This window comes from Homo sapiens, chromosome 15 (genome assembly GCF_000001405.40).
Source record: "Homo sapiens chromosome 15, GRCh38.p14 Primary Assembly".
In the NCBI taxonomy this organism is placed as follows: Eukaryota; Metazoa; Chordata; class Mammalia; order Primates; family Hominidae; genus Homo; species Homo sapiens.
The window spans coordinates 59,859,338-59,874,394 of NC_000015.10; the positions used below are offsets into that span (position 1 = coordinate 59,859,338).

At 41.5% G+C, this 15,057-nt stretch overlaps 1 pseudogene; it reads right to left on the reverse strand.

Annotated features, from left to right (window-relative positions):
• Positions 1-11,806: 11,806 nt before the first annotated feature.
• DDX18P2 (DEAD-box helicase 18 pseudogene 2) lies at positions 11,807-14,225 on the reverse strand (annotated as a pseudogene).

Consider the following 15,057-nt stretch of genomic DNA (forward strand, 5'->3'; position numbering starts at 1 on the left):
CTCATGCCTATAATCCCAGCATGTTGGGAGGCCAAGGGGGGCAGATCACTTGAGGTCAGGAGTTTGAGACCAGCCTGGCCAACATGGCAAAACTCTGTCTCTGCTAACAATACGAAAATTAGCCGGGTGAGGTGGTGCACGCCTGTAATCCCAGCTACTCAGGAGGCTGAGGCAGGAGAATTGCTTGAACCCGGGAGACAGAGGGTGCAGTGAGCCAAGACTGTGCCACTGCACTCCAGCCTGGACGACAGTTAGGAAGAAAAATAGGATGCAAAACTTAATAGATGGCAAACATAGCCCGATCTCACTTTTTATATTTGTCCAACACGTTTATTGAGTATCTATAATGTGCCAGGAACTCTTCCAGGTGCATAAGAAGTAAACACACTTAAAAGTTAATAGGATTGTCCCTGGCTGTTAAGATTGTAGGAGATCCTTATTAGGTTCTGATACTTTTCCAAACATTGCAAATTATATGCAGTGAGTTTTACAGTAAAAGTAATACACAAGCATTTTATTTAAGACCAGTCATCAGAAATTTGATGTAACTAATAGTCAATGTTGACTGTGCCCTTGGCAAGTGACAAACAATCCCTCTTCTCTCTGCTGTACAGGGACAAATCCATTTTGCCCTTCCAATAACTCTTTGAGGTGAGTATTACTATCCCCCATTTTACACATACAGAAGCTAAGCACTGAGAGGGTTGGTAATCTGCCCCCAAAGAACACTTGGCAATGTTTGCATTTTGGGTTGTCACACTGGGTGTGCGTGTAGAGGAGGGCGGTGATTAAGATAGAGGCCAGGGATGCAGCTAAACATCCTAGGATGTACAGGATAACATCCTCCCTGCTCAGCTTATGAATAGCTCCAAATGTCAGCAGTGCCAAAGTTGAAAAACCCTGGTCTCGGATCACTTTGCTGGTAAGTGGTAGAGCCCAGTGCTGAGGCCAGGCAGCCTGACTTCCAAGCCCACACTCACCATCATCCTATACTGCTCTTCAGTACTCTGACATACTAATGTATTGCTATTAAGTGTTAGACTGTTTATTGAAGGTAATTGTTGGTAACGTTATTGCTATCATATATGGTACTTTGTGATTTATCAAAAAATTTAAGGCAAATTATGAAAACAAATTCTTTTTCTACATGTTCAAAAGACACCTTTATCAAATTGACTAAAATGGCACTTGATGTAGTAGAAGGGCATTCTTATGCAGTTAAGGTGAAAATTGGTGGAATTCATTGAAAAATAAATGTGCTTTGCATCAAAATCTTAAAATTATTTATAACATTTGATGCAGAGATTCCACTTTGGAGAATTTATTCTACGAAATATGACAAAATCCAGATGCACAAATATATACCTATCTTTTTTTTCTTTTTCTTTTTCTTTTTTTTTTTTTTTTGAGACAGGTCTTGCTCTGTTGCTGAGGCTGGAGCACAATGGTGCGATCACAGCTCACCGCAGCCTCAACCTTCTGGGCTCAAGTAATTCTCCTACCTCAGCCTCCTGAGTAGCTGGGACCATAGGTGTGTGTCACCATGCCTGGCTATTAAAAAAAATTTTTTTATAGAGTTGGGGTCTTGCTATGTTGCCCAGGCTGATCTTGAACTCCTGGGCTCAAGCAATCTTCCCACCTTGGCTTCCCGAAGTGCTGGGATTACAGGCGAGAGCCACCACACCTGGCCTTTTTCTATAAAAGTAGAAAAATGGGGAGAAAGTTGTCTAAATGTTTAACGACAGAAGAGCTTAATAAACTGGGCACAGATGCTTGAGATAATCTATGTAAGGGTGTGAAAAACCCATGTTAGCATAATATCAGGTGAACCAAAGAGAATAGAAAATCACGTACTTATGTTTGCAAGCAGGTTAACAAGTAGCATCATTTAAAAGGAAATACTTCATTAGAGGTGCTGAATTATCCTAGTAAAGAGTGAATTTTTAAAAACTTTTTTCCTGTCTTTTATTATGTCTGAAACATAGCGATGCATTTTTTATGGAGTAAAAATAATCAAAATATGTTTAGGTGTACTTAAATCCCGGGAAGATCATATCTTTTTAAAAGGAAGTCTCTTTCTAAAACTTGAAATACGTGTAAATAAGCTTATGACCTAGATCTGAGCACTTTAACAGTAGAAACAAATCTGAGAACGGAGCCAACAGTCCGTTCTCAACACATTGAGAAAGGACAATCTCAACACATTGTCTATATCGATATTAGATGACAAAATCTTCTCTCTGGCAATCTTAATGTCTCCTTCTCCCTCCATAATGACTCGATGCATAAAAATTAATCTTTTCCCTCCGCTTTGATCCCCAAGCTCCTTAGCGAAGATTCCATCTTGCTCTATAACACACGATGAAGCATTTTCCCTGTTATAATGTGACGATGGCCCTACTGAGCACAACAATTTGAGTCGGAATGTGCCACAGCCAAAGGAGAAATCTTAAGAGGCAATTCCACCTAGAACTATTTGGCAAATGCATAAAAAAGACATATTAACACAGTCTGAAAATTGTGCCCTTAACAATAAGAACACAAAACAGAGCTGGAAATGGGAGAGAGAGGTGGAGAGGGTTGGAGAAAAGGAAACGCAGAGGCAAGATGCTCTGGTGCTTCCAGTCCCAAAAAGTGCTGGTCATGTAGATCAGTTTCAGCCAAAAAAAAAAAAGCACTTTCGAAACTTTCAATAGAAAAGATTTTTTGTCAAGGCTAGGCAAAAACATTCTTTAATTAGTTTACTCAAATATTAAATCTGACATCTAGTATCTCAATATTAGCAAAAATGTGATAATTATAGCTGGAAGGGTTTTTTATTGAATGTAAATTCATGTATAACACTTTTAGCATATCTCACTCCCCATTGTTATCTTCCATACACTGTTCACACTTAACTGGAAGCCTTGGGCTCCACTCTGAAATGTGATCTCAAATTCACAGTCTCCATAATTCCTTTTAATGCAGTCGCAGTTCAGTAATGACCATGACAAACGACATGTCATGTCTACCATCCCCAGGGAAGACAAAATCCCAAGAGATCCTGCCTGGCTAAGGGGAACCTGAGCTCCCAGGATGCCCAGGCTGCGGCAGAAGGGGCTTTCTGTATTCACTAGAGACCCATATTACATCGCTTCTCCACAGGGAAGGCTCTGTGTGCTTTTGGGCAGCAAACATTTTGACTGGGTTGGCTGTCAGTGCAGTGAAGGAGCTTCCCAGCTCAATCTTATTATTGGCTTGAAGGAGAACAGAAGCAGGCAACATGTATTGAGTTAGGTCTGTGCAAATATGCATTTGTTCATTTTACCCTTGCAGCATCCTTGTCTTATAGAGAAATACTGGGACTAGGAGAGGTTAAATGGCATGCCCAACATCATGGCATTTGTGAGGGCAGGCACTCATGGCTCGGGCAGCATCTGAAATGAACACTCTGCCCTCTCTAGGGCTTGCTGAGGCGGGAGTGAGGAGAATGTATGGCCACATAGTGAACCGTGGACACCTCACCCCACCACAGAACTAAATTAATAAGCACATGCTCATGTGTAGGCTGACTCATATACCCCTTCTCCCAAATATTGACATATCACTGTGGGTTCTTATAATAATATTGAGAAGTGCCAATGTTTTTATTTGTTTGTTTGTGGTGACAGCCACTGAACAATCTCCTAAGATTGGAATCTCAAATGCCTACAACAGCCAAGCTTTTCTCAAGACATCAGGAAGAGGCGGGGATCATGGCAGCATGGCCTGCAAATGCCCCTTCTGAAAGGACCCACCCGTAGGATTGGTAGCTCCTGTCACTATGGGCAATTGCATGCCTAGTTTGCAGAGCTTTGGATTTCTTCAAAGGATGCCAGAAACAAGGATTTTTATGTGAACTCTCCCAATTTAAAAAGATGGCAAGAACTGGGCGTGGTGGCTCACGCCTGTAATCCTAGCACTTTGGGAGGCTGAGGTGGGCGGATCATTTGATGTCAGGAGTTCAAAACCAGCCTAGCCAACATGGTGAAACCCCGTCTCTACTAAAAATACAAAAATTAGCTGGGTGTGGTGGCGCACGTCTGTGATCCCAGCTACTTGGGAGGCTGATGCAGGAGAATCGCTGGAACCTAGGAGGCAGAGTCTGCAGTGAGCTGAGATGGCGCCACTGCACTCCAGCCTGTGCAACAGAGTGAGACTCCATCTCAAAAAAAAAAAAAAAAAAAAGATGGCAACTATTAAAAAGATTTTTTTTCAATTGTGTGAGCCAAATAAAATATGTCCATGAGCCTGATTTGGTCTGAGCCTTCTGCCTTACAACTTCTGGTCTGGAGGATATGTCGTACCAGAGATGATTTTGCATAAGAAGTACCTCAGGCCAGCCTTCACAATAGTGAAGACACAGCTAAATCACTCCTTCCACACAGCCAGTGAAGAAATGGCCTGTCCACTTTGACAGTCTCTGTCATTTAATAGTAGTATTTGAAGAAAGGAAACGATGACCAAAAAATCCATATTAAAATATGTCTCAATTTCAAAATTGATGATCAGAGAAATGAGCAAAAAGTGAGAGGAATTTTACAGTTTAACAAAATAGAAAAACTAGCAAACAAACAAAAAGGCATGGGTTGATATTAAACAAATGCCTAAGAGGAGTTCTGTTCCAACTCTCAAGGAGAGGTCCATCACAAGGTTTCCTGATGGAATTATTTTTTCCAGATACATTTCCTACTATCCATCCTTTCCACCTCATTACCATCTTGTTTCTCAGGACACTGATTTAGACATAGACCAATTTCAGCAGCATTTTATTACTAAAATCCCCCTCTTGCAAATGAGGAATTCAAATGTGGAACATAAGGCTGGGCGCGGTGGCTCACGCCTGTAATCCTAAGAATTTGGGAGGCCGAGGCAGGTGGCTCACCTGAGGTCAGGAGTTCGAGACCAGCCTGGCCAACATGGCGAAACCCCATCTCTACTAAAAATACAAAAATTAGCCAGGCATGGTGGTGGGAGCCTGTAATCCCAGCTACTCAGGAGGCTGAGGCTGGAGAATCACTTGAACCTGGGAGGTGGAGGTTGCAGTGAGCCAAGATTGCACCACTGCACTCCAGCCCGGGCAACAGAGTGAGACTCTATCTCAAAAAAATAAATTAATAAATTAATTAATTAAATTAAATTCAGTGGAACATAACCTGGTGCCCCCATTCATGCTGGCTTAGGCACCCCAAAGTAGTCTTCAGACAACCTCACTCTCTAGCAAGATGAGTGCTGTCGTGTGGAAATATGCTTTAGAGAGAAGGATTTGAATGCACTTTTTTTGCTTACGTAAACGTGCAGATGCAGGAAAATCTCATGGTGCTGTGTTGAGAAGTCAGTGCGAAGAACAAATTGTAATGAACTCACAGAAACGGGAGAGTACTTGTGGAAATCCTACATTATTAGTTTGCTGTTAATTAAAAAAAAAACTCTCTCCAACTGAACACTGCCTTGATAAAGAACCTAAATTCCAGAAGAAAAATAATCCTAGTAAAATAGCTCAGGTATATATATTTCTAAGTCTAAACACAGCCACTTTGCTGCTATGTGTGGTAGGAAGGCTGTGGTGTTATAATACATACCGGTCTTTGTCCACGGTTTCTGGCTGATAGCCATAGCCCTTATTGCAGTCTTTTGTTATAATGTTGGGTGTATGAGGCCACATGGGCAGCCTCTGACCTCCTCCTGCCCTCCTTTCATCTGCTCCAAGGCAAGACTCTACTTTTCCCCTGTCTTTCTGATTGTGGGTCCTAAGACCCTCCCATGAGAGGGTCCCACCCCTCTATACCTTGGGGAAGAAATGCTTACATCATGAAGCTTCCATAAAAACCCAAGAGGGCTGGTGTCAGTGAGCTTCTGGATAGCCGAACTGCAGGTTCCTCCAGAGGGTCCAGGGAGGGCATGGACCCTCTGGAGCCCTTCCCCCATTTCCTGCCCTAAACATCTTTTCATCTGTATCCTTTGCAATATCCTTTATAATAAACTGGTAAATGTAGGTAAGTGTTTCCCTGAGTTCTGTGAGCTGCTCTGGCAAATTATTTGAACCCAAAGAGGGGATCATGGGAACCCCAACTTGAAGCCAGTTGGTCAGAAGTTCCGGAGGCCCAGGCTTGTCACTGGTGTGTGTTAGAGGGGGCCAGTCTTGGCTGGGGACTGAACACTCAACCTGTGAGATCTGACGTCGTCTCCAGGTAGACAGTGCCAGAAATGAATTAGAGGACACCCAGCTGGTGTCCACTGCTTGGTGTGTGAGGAAAAAAAACCCACACATATAGTCACAGAAGTCTTCTCCTGTGCTGATGATTATTGTGATGTGAGAACAGAGGAAAAACATGGTTAGAGAGAGTTTTCCCTACACGGAAGCTGTCTTCTCTTTAGTTCGTCGGGTAGAAGCAAAGAATTCCAAGTCTGGGCAATTTGTTATCAAGTGCGACTTCAGCTCAGGTCCTTGATTCTGTAGTCTGTTATTTCAGTGGCAGCAACAGTTTGATTAAAAAGGTATGGAACCCAGCTAGAGGACTTGGGTTCAATTCCCCACTCTGCTGCTTATTTGCTCTGTGACCTTGGGCAAGGCCACGCTCGTCAGGCTGTAATGGAATGGAGAATGTGTCCCAGAGGAAACTGAGGTGAAATTTCAACATCTACTCCACTCTTACAGGCTGTGTGAACCTTGGGCAAATTCCTTAAGATCTCTGAGCCTAATTTTCCTTGTCCTAAAAGTAAAGATGAAGATTTTAAAAATCACAAGAGCTGGCCGGGCACACTGGCTCACACCTGTAATCTCAGCACTTTGGGAGGCCAAGGCAGGTGGATCACCTGAGATCAGGAGTTTGAGCCAGCCTGGCCAACATAATGAAACCTGTCTCTACTAACAATACAAAAATTAGCCAGGTGTGGTGGCACGCACCTGTAGTCTCAGCTACTTGGGAGGCTGAGGCAGGAGAATAGCTTGAACCCGGGAGGTGGAGGTTGCAGTGAGCTGAGATTGGGCCACTGCACTCCAGCAGCCTGGGAACAGAGCAAAACTCTGTCTAAAAAAAAAATTAATCGTTAACAATTAATAATACTATTGATATTAATAAGGTTAACAAAAATGGACAATAATGCCATCTTCATAGGATCATGATGATTAAGTGATAGAAAATAGGAAGTCTTTTTGTCAACCAAAAAGATATATTCATGTTAATTATCACATGTAACAAAATTTTAGAAGCATCTAGAAGAGTCCATGGATTACAAACTCTTATCTGTGCCCTGTAATATCTTTATGAAAAATTAAATTACCTTTTACTGAAAAATTGCTACAGAGTTTAAAACATATGGACCTGGAATCTCTATTTGAGGATTTTAGTGATCTTGATAGTATACCAAGGCATTAGTGATGGACCATGTGTCTTTTCCTAAGCCTGTTTTGCTCTGGCAGAAGGTACAGAAAGAATGCATGGTTCCTGAAATTTGGGGAGGGTAGGCAGAGCAGACAACAGCCTGTGCCGCAGAGAGGAGAGATAATCTCTACGTGGCATGATGCAGAATTCGTGGCTGGGAGGGCTGCAGGCGAACTTGGCTGGCTTTCAGAATGGACTTCTCTTAACAGACACAGAGGAAGTTGTTAATTCTTAATAATACTAATAACAATAGCAGAACAGCTGCTTCCTCAATTATGGTACAGGGTGTTTCATTCTATCATCTAGTCTTGTGCAGCTGCAACACCAGCATACCAGGACAATTCCATCAAAAGTACCAACTTCACATTTAAAGAGGTGAGAAAATGAATCTATCAAAATGTCTCCTTGATTTGGACATCAATACATTGGAATGTGTGGTGAGGGTTAGGCTGATGTTCCCCTTTGCTTGGCAAACTGCCTCTTCATTGATAATGCAAATTATGACTGCAAACGGCATCTCTGGGGGGTATTTAAAGTGCTTAAGGGAACATGCTGCACACTTCAGAAGCGCTCCTTTTATATGCAATTAGTCTGTTCATGACACATCATTCTTATCATTCATTAAAGTAAGTCCCTGGCTTAGTTGGATGCATTTTATGGATTTATAGTATCACAGGAGCTCAGAACTGGCTAGGGCCTAAAGGTCATCAAGCTCACGACTCCTCTGTGGGTCATCCACATCCAACATCCAATATCCAACATCCGTGCCTGGGCTACTTGCATTTCTGCCCCAGTCCAGTGAGAGGCCACTCTGGATCTCCTCAGGCAGCCCTTGGAAAGATCACAAACTCTGGAGTGGTGAGGACCTGGATCAAATCCCAGCTTCATCCTTTACCAGTTACAGGAGCCTCTGTTCCCTTATGAGGGTTGTGTGTGCTGTGCCTGGCATATGGCATATTTTTTTGAGACTCTTTTAGCTCCAAAAGAGACTGATGGTAGATTAGTGGTTGCCAGGGAGCAGGGGGTGACTATAAATGAATGTGAGGTTTCTTTTTGGCTAATGGAAATCTTCTCCAGTTAGATTGTGATGATGGTCGCATAACTGTGAAAATTTACTTAAGTCATTGAATTGTACATGCAACACAAGTGAATTTTATTACATGTAAATTATGCCCCCATAAAGCTGTTAAAAAAAGATAAAAAATATCTAGCAACATTTTTTTTAATTACAAAAATACCCAAGGTGCTAAGCATAGTATACATAAGATAAAAGCTAATTTGGGGTGTTGCAGGAGGAAGTATATGCAGTTAATGAGCAAAAATAATTTTAGGGAATCATCTGCTTCGTATTCTCAAAAAAAATTAAAGAAAAATTGTCTCTAGGAAAGATAATTAAAGGTAAGATCATAGAACAGACTGGGGAAAATTGAGTATAGATCCCAAATCCCTTTAAAGAAATCCATGAGACCAATCTGTTTAAGAATGCAGGATTTTTTGACTTTTAGAAAGGTAATATGGGGCATTTTCCATAATTACATAACACCCCCAACAGGGTATGTGGCAGCATCTCATAATTAAACATATTAATATTTCTTTAGTGAAATGTATGAATATTCATATTAAGTAGGATAAATGCAAGGCTATAAACAGACTCAGGTCAGCTCAGGTCCGGATTTGCCATCCAGTGAGTTTGCTACAAACTTCAGAGTATGCTTGGCTTGCCAGACTTTTGGATCTCAGGATTGGAGAACTGGGGCTGTGGTTCATATTGTTATCACACACATCATGACCTTGCCTTTCCTTTCTCTCCTTCTTTCTCCATGTCATAACTCTAGGGACTGGGACAGTCTCTCCCAAGGGAGAGCCTGAAGTTGGGGACCAAGCTTGAGGTTAGATTGGAATTTTTTGCTCTGTCACTACTGAGCTTAGATGAGAGTGAGCTAGTGAATGAAAAACAGAGTAAAATGGAAATTTAAAATTGGAAATATTGTCCAGGATGAGATGGACAAAGAGGAAAGAACCAAACGTTTTTTTAACATAGGATAACAGATAGATAGTGTACCCTTAAATAATAGCACAGAAGCACAGGCAGCAGAAAAAGATAATTTTCAGGTTAGATTCATTAATAAATTCTGTATTATTTACTTGGTTTGTTTTCTATTTGCTTATTTCAAACTTACTTTGCAGAAGTTTTTGAATCTTGCAAATGATTTACCACCTGTCCTTTAAACTCTTTGATGCACACTCTGTGAGTGGCCCCATCCTTCCATCTCCCCTATGGGACCCTGGCCCAACAGGAGTCCAGGGTACTTGTCACCATGCTCAAGAAAGTGTGGCAGCCGGGTGCAGTGGCTCACGCCTGTAATCCTGGCACTTTGGGAGGCCGAGGCGGGCGGATCACGAGGTCAGGAGATCGAGACCATCCTGGCTAACACGGTGAAATCCCGTCTCTAGTAAAAATATAAAAAACTAGCCGGGCGTGGTGGCAGGCACCTGTAGTCCCAGCTACTCGGGAGGCTGAGGCAGGAGAATGGCGTGAACCCAGGAGGTGGAGCTTGCAGTGAGCCGAGATCACGCGGCTGTACTCCAGCCTGGGCGACAGAGCGAGACTCCATCTCAAAAAGAATAAAAAATAAAATAAATAAAGTGTGGTGATAAGTGATGTGACCACAGTCTAGTGACAGTGATGTGACAGCCTACCATGGCCAGGTGGACCATAATGTACATCCCTGAGTTTCAGAGGAGCCCTGTTCCACTAGACTCCAAACTCCTTGAGGGCAGAGACTTTGTCAATGTTCTCTCTCCAGACCCCAATGAGCTGCTCAAAAAACACATGTGGATTAATCAAATATATGACAGGTCAAATAAATCAAATAACAAATAAAAGCAGTTTGATAGTTTACTATCTTGCTGATTGCCAACCCTTGCTCTAGGATCAAAAAATAGTTCATAGGAAGGGTGCTTTTCCTTGGGGTCTCCTCCTTCTCCCTCAAGTGATATGGGTTCTTTGAAGCATCTGTTTCTCTTTGTTGGGTTGATATCCCGCAGCCATAGCTGCTGGAGGCAAGCTGACCCTGGGGATGAATGGAACGGTATGCTCTCTTCCTAAAAAATGAACATAGCTTCTTTTTTATATGTAATTATTTAATGACACAGGAAATTTACATGTTATGAAACAAGCTGATTACAAGTAGTAGATAGAAGATTACTTCATTTTTGATAAAAAAAATTAAAGAGCATGAACAGGCATATAAAAATTAGATTATGTACAAAATACCAATAGTGTTTACTTCTACTCAGTAATTAAATATTCTTCCCTTTTCATCTTTTTAGAAACATTATTTCTGAAATAAAAAAGGAAAACATGATCCCGGAGAGAGTTATTACACACCAGAAATTAGGAATCCAAGAAACCAAGCCAGGAGCCCAGCAGTCAAGGTTGGAAACCCAAGACAGGAGCCCGACAGTCAAGGTTGGAAACCCAAGACAGGAGCCCGACAGTCAAGGTTGGAAACAAAAGACAGGTCCAGCCAGGGTGATGACGGTCAAGCCCAGAAATGAAGATTGTTCTCTTCTTTTCCTACTGGAATGTTCTTTACCAAACAGTTCCCTCTACATTTAATCTTCTCAGTGCACTTACGTTTAATGGGATCCTATGATTAACCGGCACAAGAGCAAAATGATTCTAGCAACTTTAGTTTTAAATTGCTACAAAATGTACTATTTTGTAGTTACATACTATACAAAACACACTTGAAATCAAGTGCTCCTACAACAAAAAAACCCATCTGACTAAATCACCAATTTTGGTGTTTTTTTTTGTAATTTTGTTCATTTTCAATCTTCATAGCAAATGCATTTTTTTGCTTCGGGGCCTAGAAGAGGTAATTTTTCTCAAAAATAAGCTAACATTAATATGTGCTGGGCACTATCTGATGGCTTGGCTTTAAGTCCAAGGTAGTTGGCGGCCTTGTCTTCTAAGTACTCTGTAGAGTGAAAAGGCTTACCAAAATCCAAACCACCTTGAAATAAAGAAATCCGAATTAGGAGCATCACCATTCTTTGTGTTTTTTTAAAGTCTTTGCTATGTTACCAAATGAAGAAATGCAGTATATTACACCTCTATCGATGGAAATGAAGCACTATATTACACCTTTATTGATGGAAATGAGGCTCAACCATCTCAATTTCACCGTTTTCCTACCCCCCACCTGTCGAATGTTATGACAGCTAGTGACACTTTATACAAAACACCTGAGAAAGGCTCATTGCTTTAAAATCAAAAATCTATAAAAGCAATGCCACCCTAATCCTAAGGTGCTTCTTAGGTATTTCCCAAATCTCTTTGCTCTTTTATACTGCAGCATTTTCAGGAGGAGTCATGAGATACTGTCAAGGTTCATGAAATAACTAAAAATGAAAAATAACCTTAGACTCTTCTCTGCATTACCACCAGCTGCCTGGTACACTAGGTCACCTTTTACAGGAGTTACATTAAAACAATAATGTACATTGGTGTGTATGTGGTTGGGGGGATATTTAAAATATTATATAATCACAAGAAAGACCAGAGATTTATTGCTTTGCCCTTGGGCAACTAAGAAATTTAAAGCCTGTTTTATATCCCAAAAATAAAAAAGAGACTTGATAGAAGTAACAGTGCTCAGTGCTTGCAACCCAAGTCAATTTACAGAAATCTTGTTTAAATTCAAGGGGGAAAAAATTCATTTTAGGACGAAGTTATTCAAGATGAAAGAAAGGCGTGTCTTCAGTGAGAGAACTGTCTGCTGTCAGATGATTTCTTGCTAACGTGTTTAAAGATTTTGGACTTCTCAACTTTCTTGGTTTTCTGGTAGCCAAATTCACCACTGCCTCCTCACTTTTTCTGCTTGCCTTCATTGCTGTTGATGTTCAGATCAACAGAGGGAGGCACCTTGAAACCAGATGACAGAGCAACTTATCATTAAAGATCTGTTTTAGAGAATGGGAATCCTAGGCTCGTGTGTATGACTTATATGCTTCCTGGGCTGCCTTATGAAGAAAGCAGTTCTTTTCAATTAATTTCTCAAGCTGAGACTGAATGTCAGAAATTTTAGACCAGGAAAAGTCAAATTCACTTAATGGAAACTTGGATTGTTTCAAGTAGTGAAGGAACCCCATTTCTTCTGGGCACAAAATGAGCAAGACATGACCTCTCCCATTTAGACCTCTGGCTGTTCTGCTTACACGATGAATATATTCCTTAGGGTCATCCAGAGGGTCATGCTGAACGATCCAGTCGACTTCAGGAATGTCCAGTCCTCTTGCTGCCACATCCATACACAATAGTATTCCTGAATCTGCTTTGCAGAACTGGAAGAATGTGGTTGTACCCTTATTTTGCTTTTGCTTTCCATGAATGGCCAAGATGGGCAAATCCATGTAATTTAGCAACTCATAGTGATATTTCACAGACATAGAAGATGAAAAGAAGACCATAATCTTCCTCTTTCGGTTCTTCTTAAGGACAGCAAAGGGCAGAAGGAATCTTTTTTCAGAGGGACAAACAACGTATCCCTGCTCAAGACCATCCACTGTTGCATTAGCTTTACCATCATCGCCAACATACAATGGCTCCTTTTTTCAGAGAAATCCTTGCCAGGTCTTCAACTTTTCGAGTTTGGGTGGCAGATAAGAGCATAGTGTGTCTGCATGTTGGCAAAAGTTTAATAATTTGCTTTAATTCCTCTTCAAACCCAACATCCAAGATTCTATCAGCTTCATCAATAACCAAATATTGTAGGTTTTTATACATAAACCCTGGTGTATTCTGCATATAGTCAAGCAGATGGCCTGGTGTGGCCACAATGATGTTAATCCCATTAGCAAGTTTCTGTGCTTCAGCAGATGTGTTATCGCCACCCATTATCAACCCATAGGTATGCATGTGGTGAGTATTAGCTCCTTAAGACCACCAAAAATTTGCATGGCTAGTTCTCTAGTAGGTGAGAGAATAAAGACCCCTGGTCTATTCGTGGGCATGAACTTTAACTTAACAGTGAGTTCAACTGCAGGAATGAGAAAAGCCAGGGTTTACCACTGCCTGTTTTTGCAGCTGCTAGAAGATCCCTGCCTTCCAGGAGTGATCTGATGGTTTTATGCTGAATTTCAGTCATGTTCATAAAGCTCATTTCTTTTATTGCCTTCAAAGTGTTTTCATTGACAAGATTAGATAGAGAAGCAAATGAAGTATCGTCAAAAGCTCCTGTCAGTCTCAGGCGCAGGCTGGGCACCTCACGGTTATCTTCCTCATTATCTGGCTTCTCCAGATTATTTTCTGTTTCTTTGGGAGTCTTGGCACTTTCTTCTTTAGATTCCCCTTTGTTTTCAGTTTTTGCTTTTTTTTACATCAGGCCCAGCATCATTCACCATTTTTCCCTTTTTCTTCTTTTTCTTTTTTGATTCTGAATTGGGAGACTGCATTGCTGTCTCTCCGTTTGTTAATACAATGGATTTCTGAGGAGATTTTTGAACTTTTACATTTTCCACTGTTTCTTGAGACACATCTCCATCTTGAGCTTCTGATAACCCCACATTCACAGAACGTTTTGATTTTTTAACCTTTCCACCTCCCATCGTTTCTTCAGACACACCTCCGTTTTGAGTTTCTGATAGGGTCAGATTTGAGGCCCCCGGCAACTTTAGGTTCCGGTGTGCATTTTGAGGTTCTGCTTCTTGATCTTCTTGCTCAGGAGTTTCATCAGCAGGTGAGACATGCTGTCCAAGAAGTGCCAAGACCACAGTGCCACACAGTATGGCTACTCAGCTCTCAGGGCTCATGTTGCACACAGCTTCTTAATACCTCACTCTCATTCAGGGAGTCACTAACCAAAGGCAACACTAGAACAGAGTGTGCACTTTTATCTTCAGGATATTCCCATCACCCTGACCAAGTTCACTAAGTTATAGGGCAAGGCAGATCTTAATTTTCTACATGAGAAGTGTTTAGAGACTAGAGTGGGGGCAGGTAGGGGACTTGTGTTGATGCCAAATCTCCACAGCAAGCAAATAATTTGTGCTTTCACTGTCTATTTATCTGGGTTGTCTTGGAGACACTGATGAAACTAGAGAGACTGTTGAGGCCTCCCCAGCCAAGCTGTGGCTGCTGCTTTAGAGAAAAGCAGCCTACTCCATTCACAGGCCAAAGGCATTTAGATAGAGTGCCATTATTCAAAGTATCAGCTTTTTCCTTTGAGTTTTGTTTACCTTATCACCATGCCCCCCTACACTCATAAACTCCCAATTTCATAGGCTCTCAGATTCAGACGAGGCCCTTAAGAAGAAAACACCCACCTGTGGTTTTAATACACTCTCTAACGTAAACTCCAGGATGGGAAAGCTAACATTTATAGGGTTCCTGATATATGTCAGGCATTTAATGCATATACATACACTTTATTGATATTATTGCATATCCTTACAACTACTCTGCTCAATCTTCCCCTCCTTTCTGTGGACAAGAAAACCGGGAGTCAGAAACATCCTGTGGCTTCCATGAGGCACACAGTTAGTAAGCGTTAGAATGAGATAAAAACCCAGAGAAACTCCTAGGTCTGTGTTCCTTCACTAAGTCTGAGACCCCATGGCCTGCCAAGGGGCTGAGTGAAAATTGCTG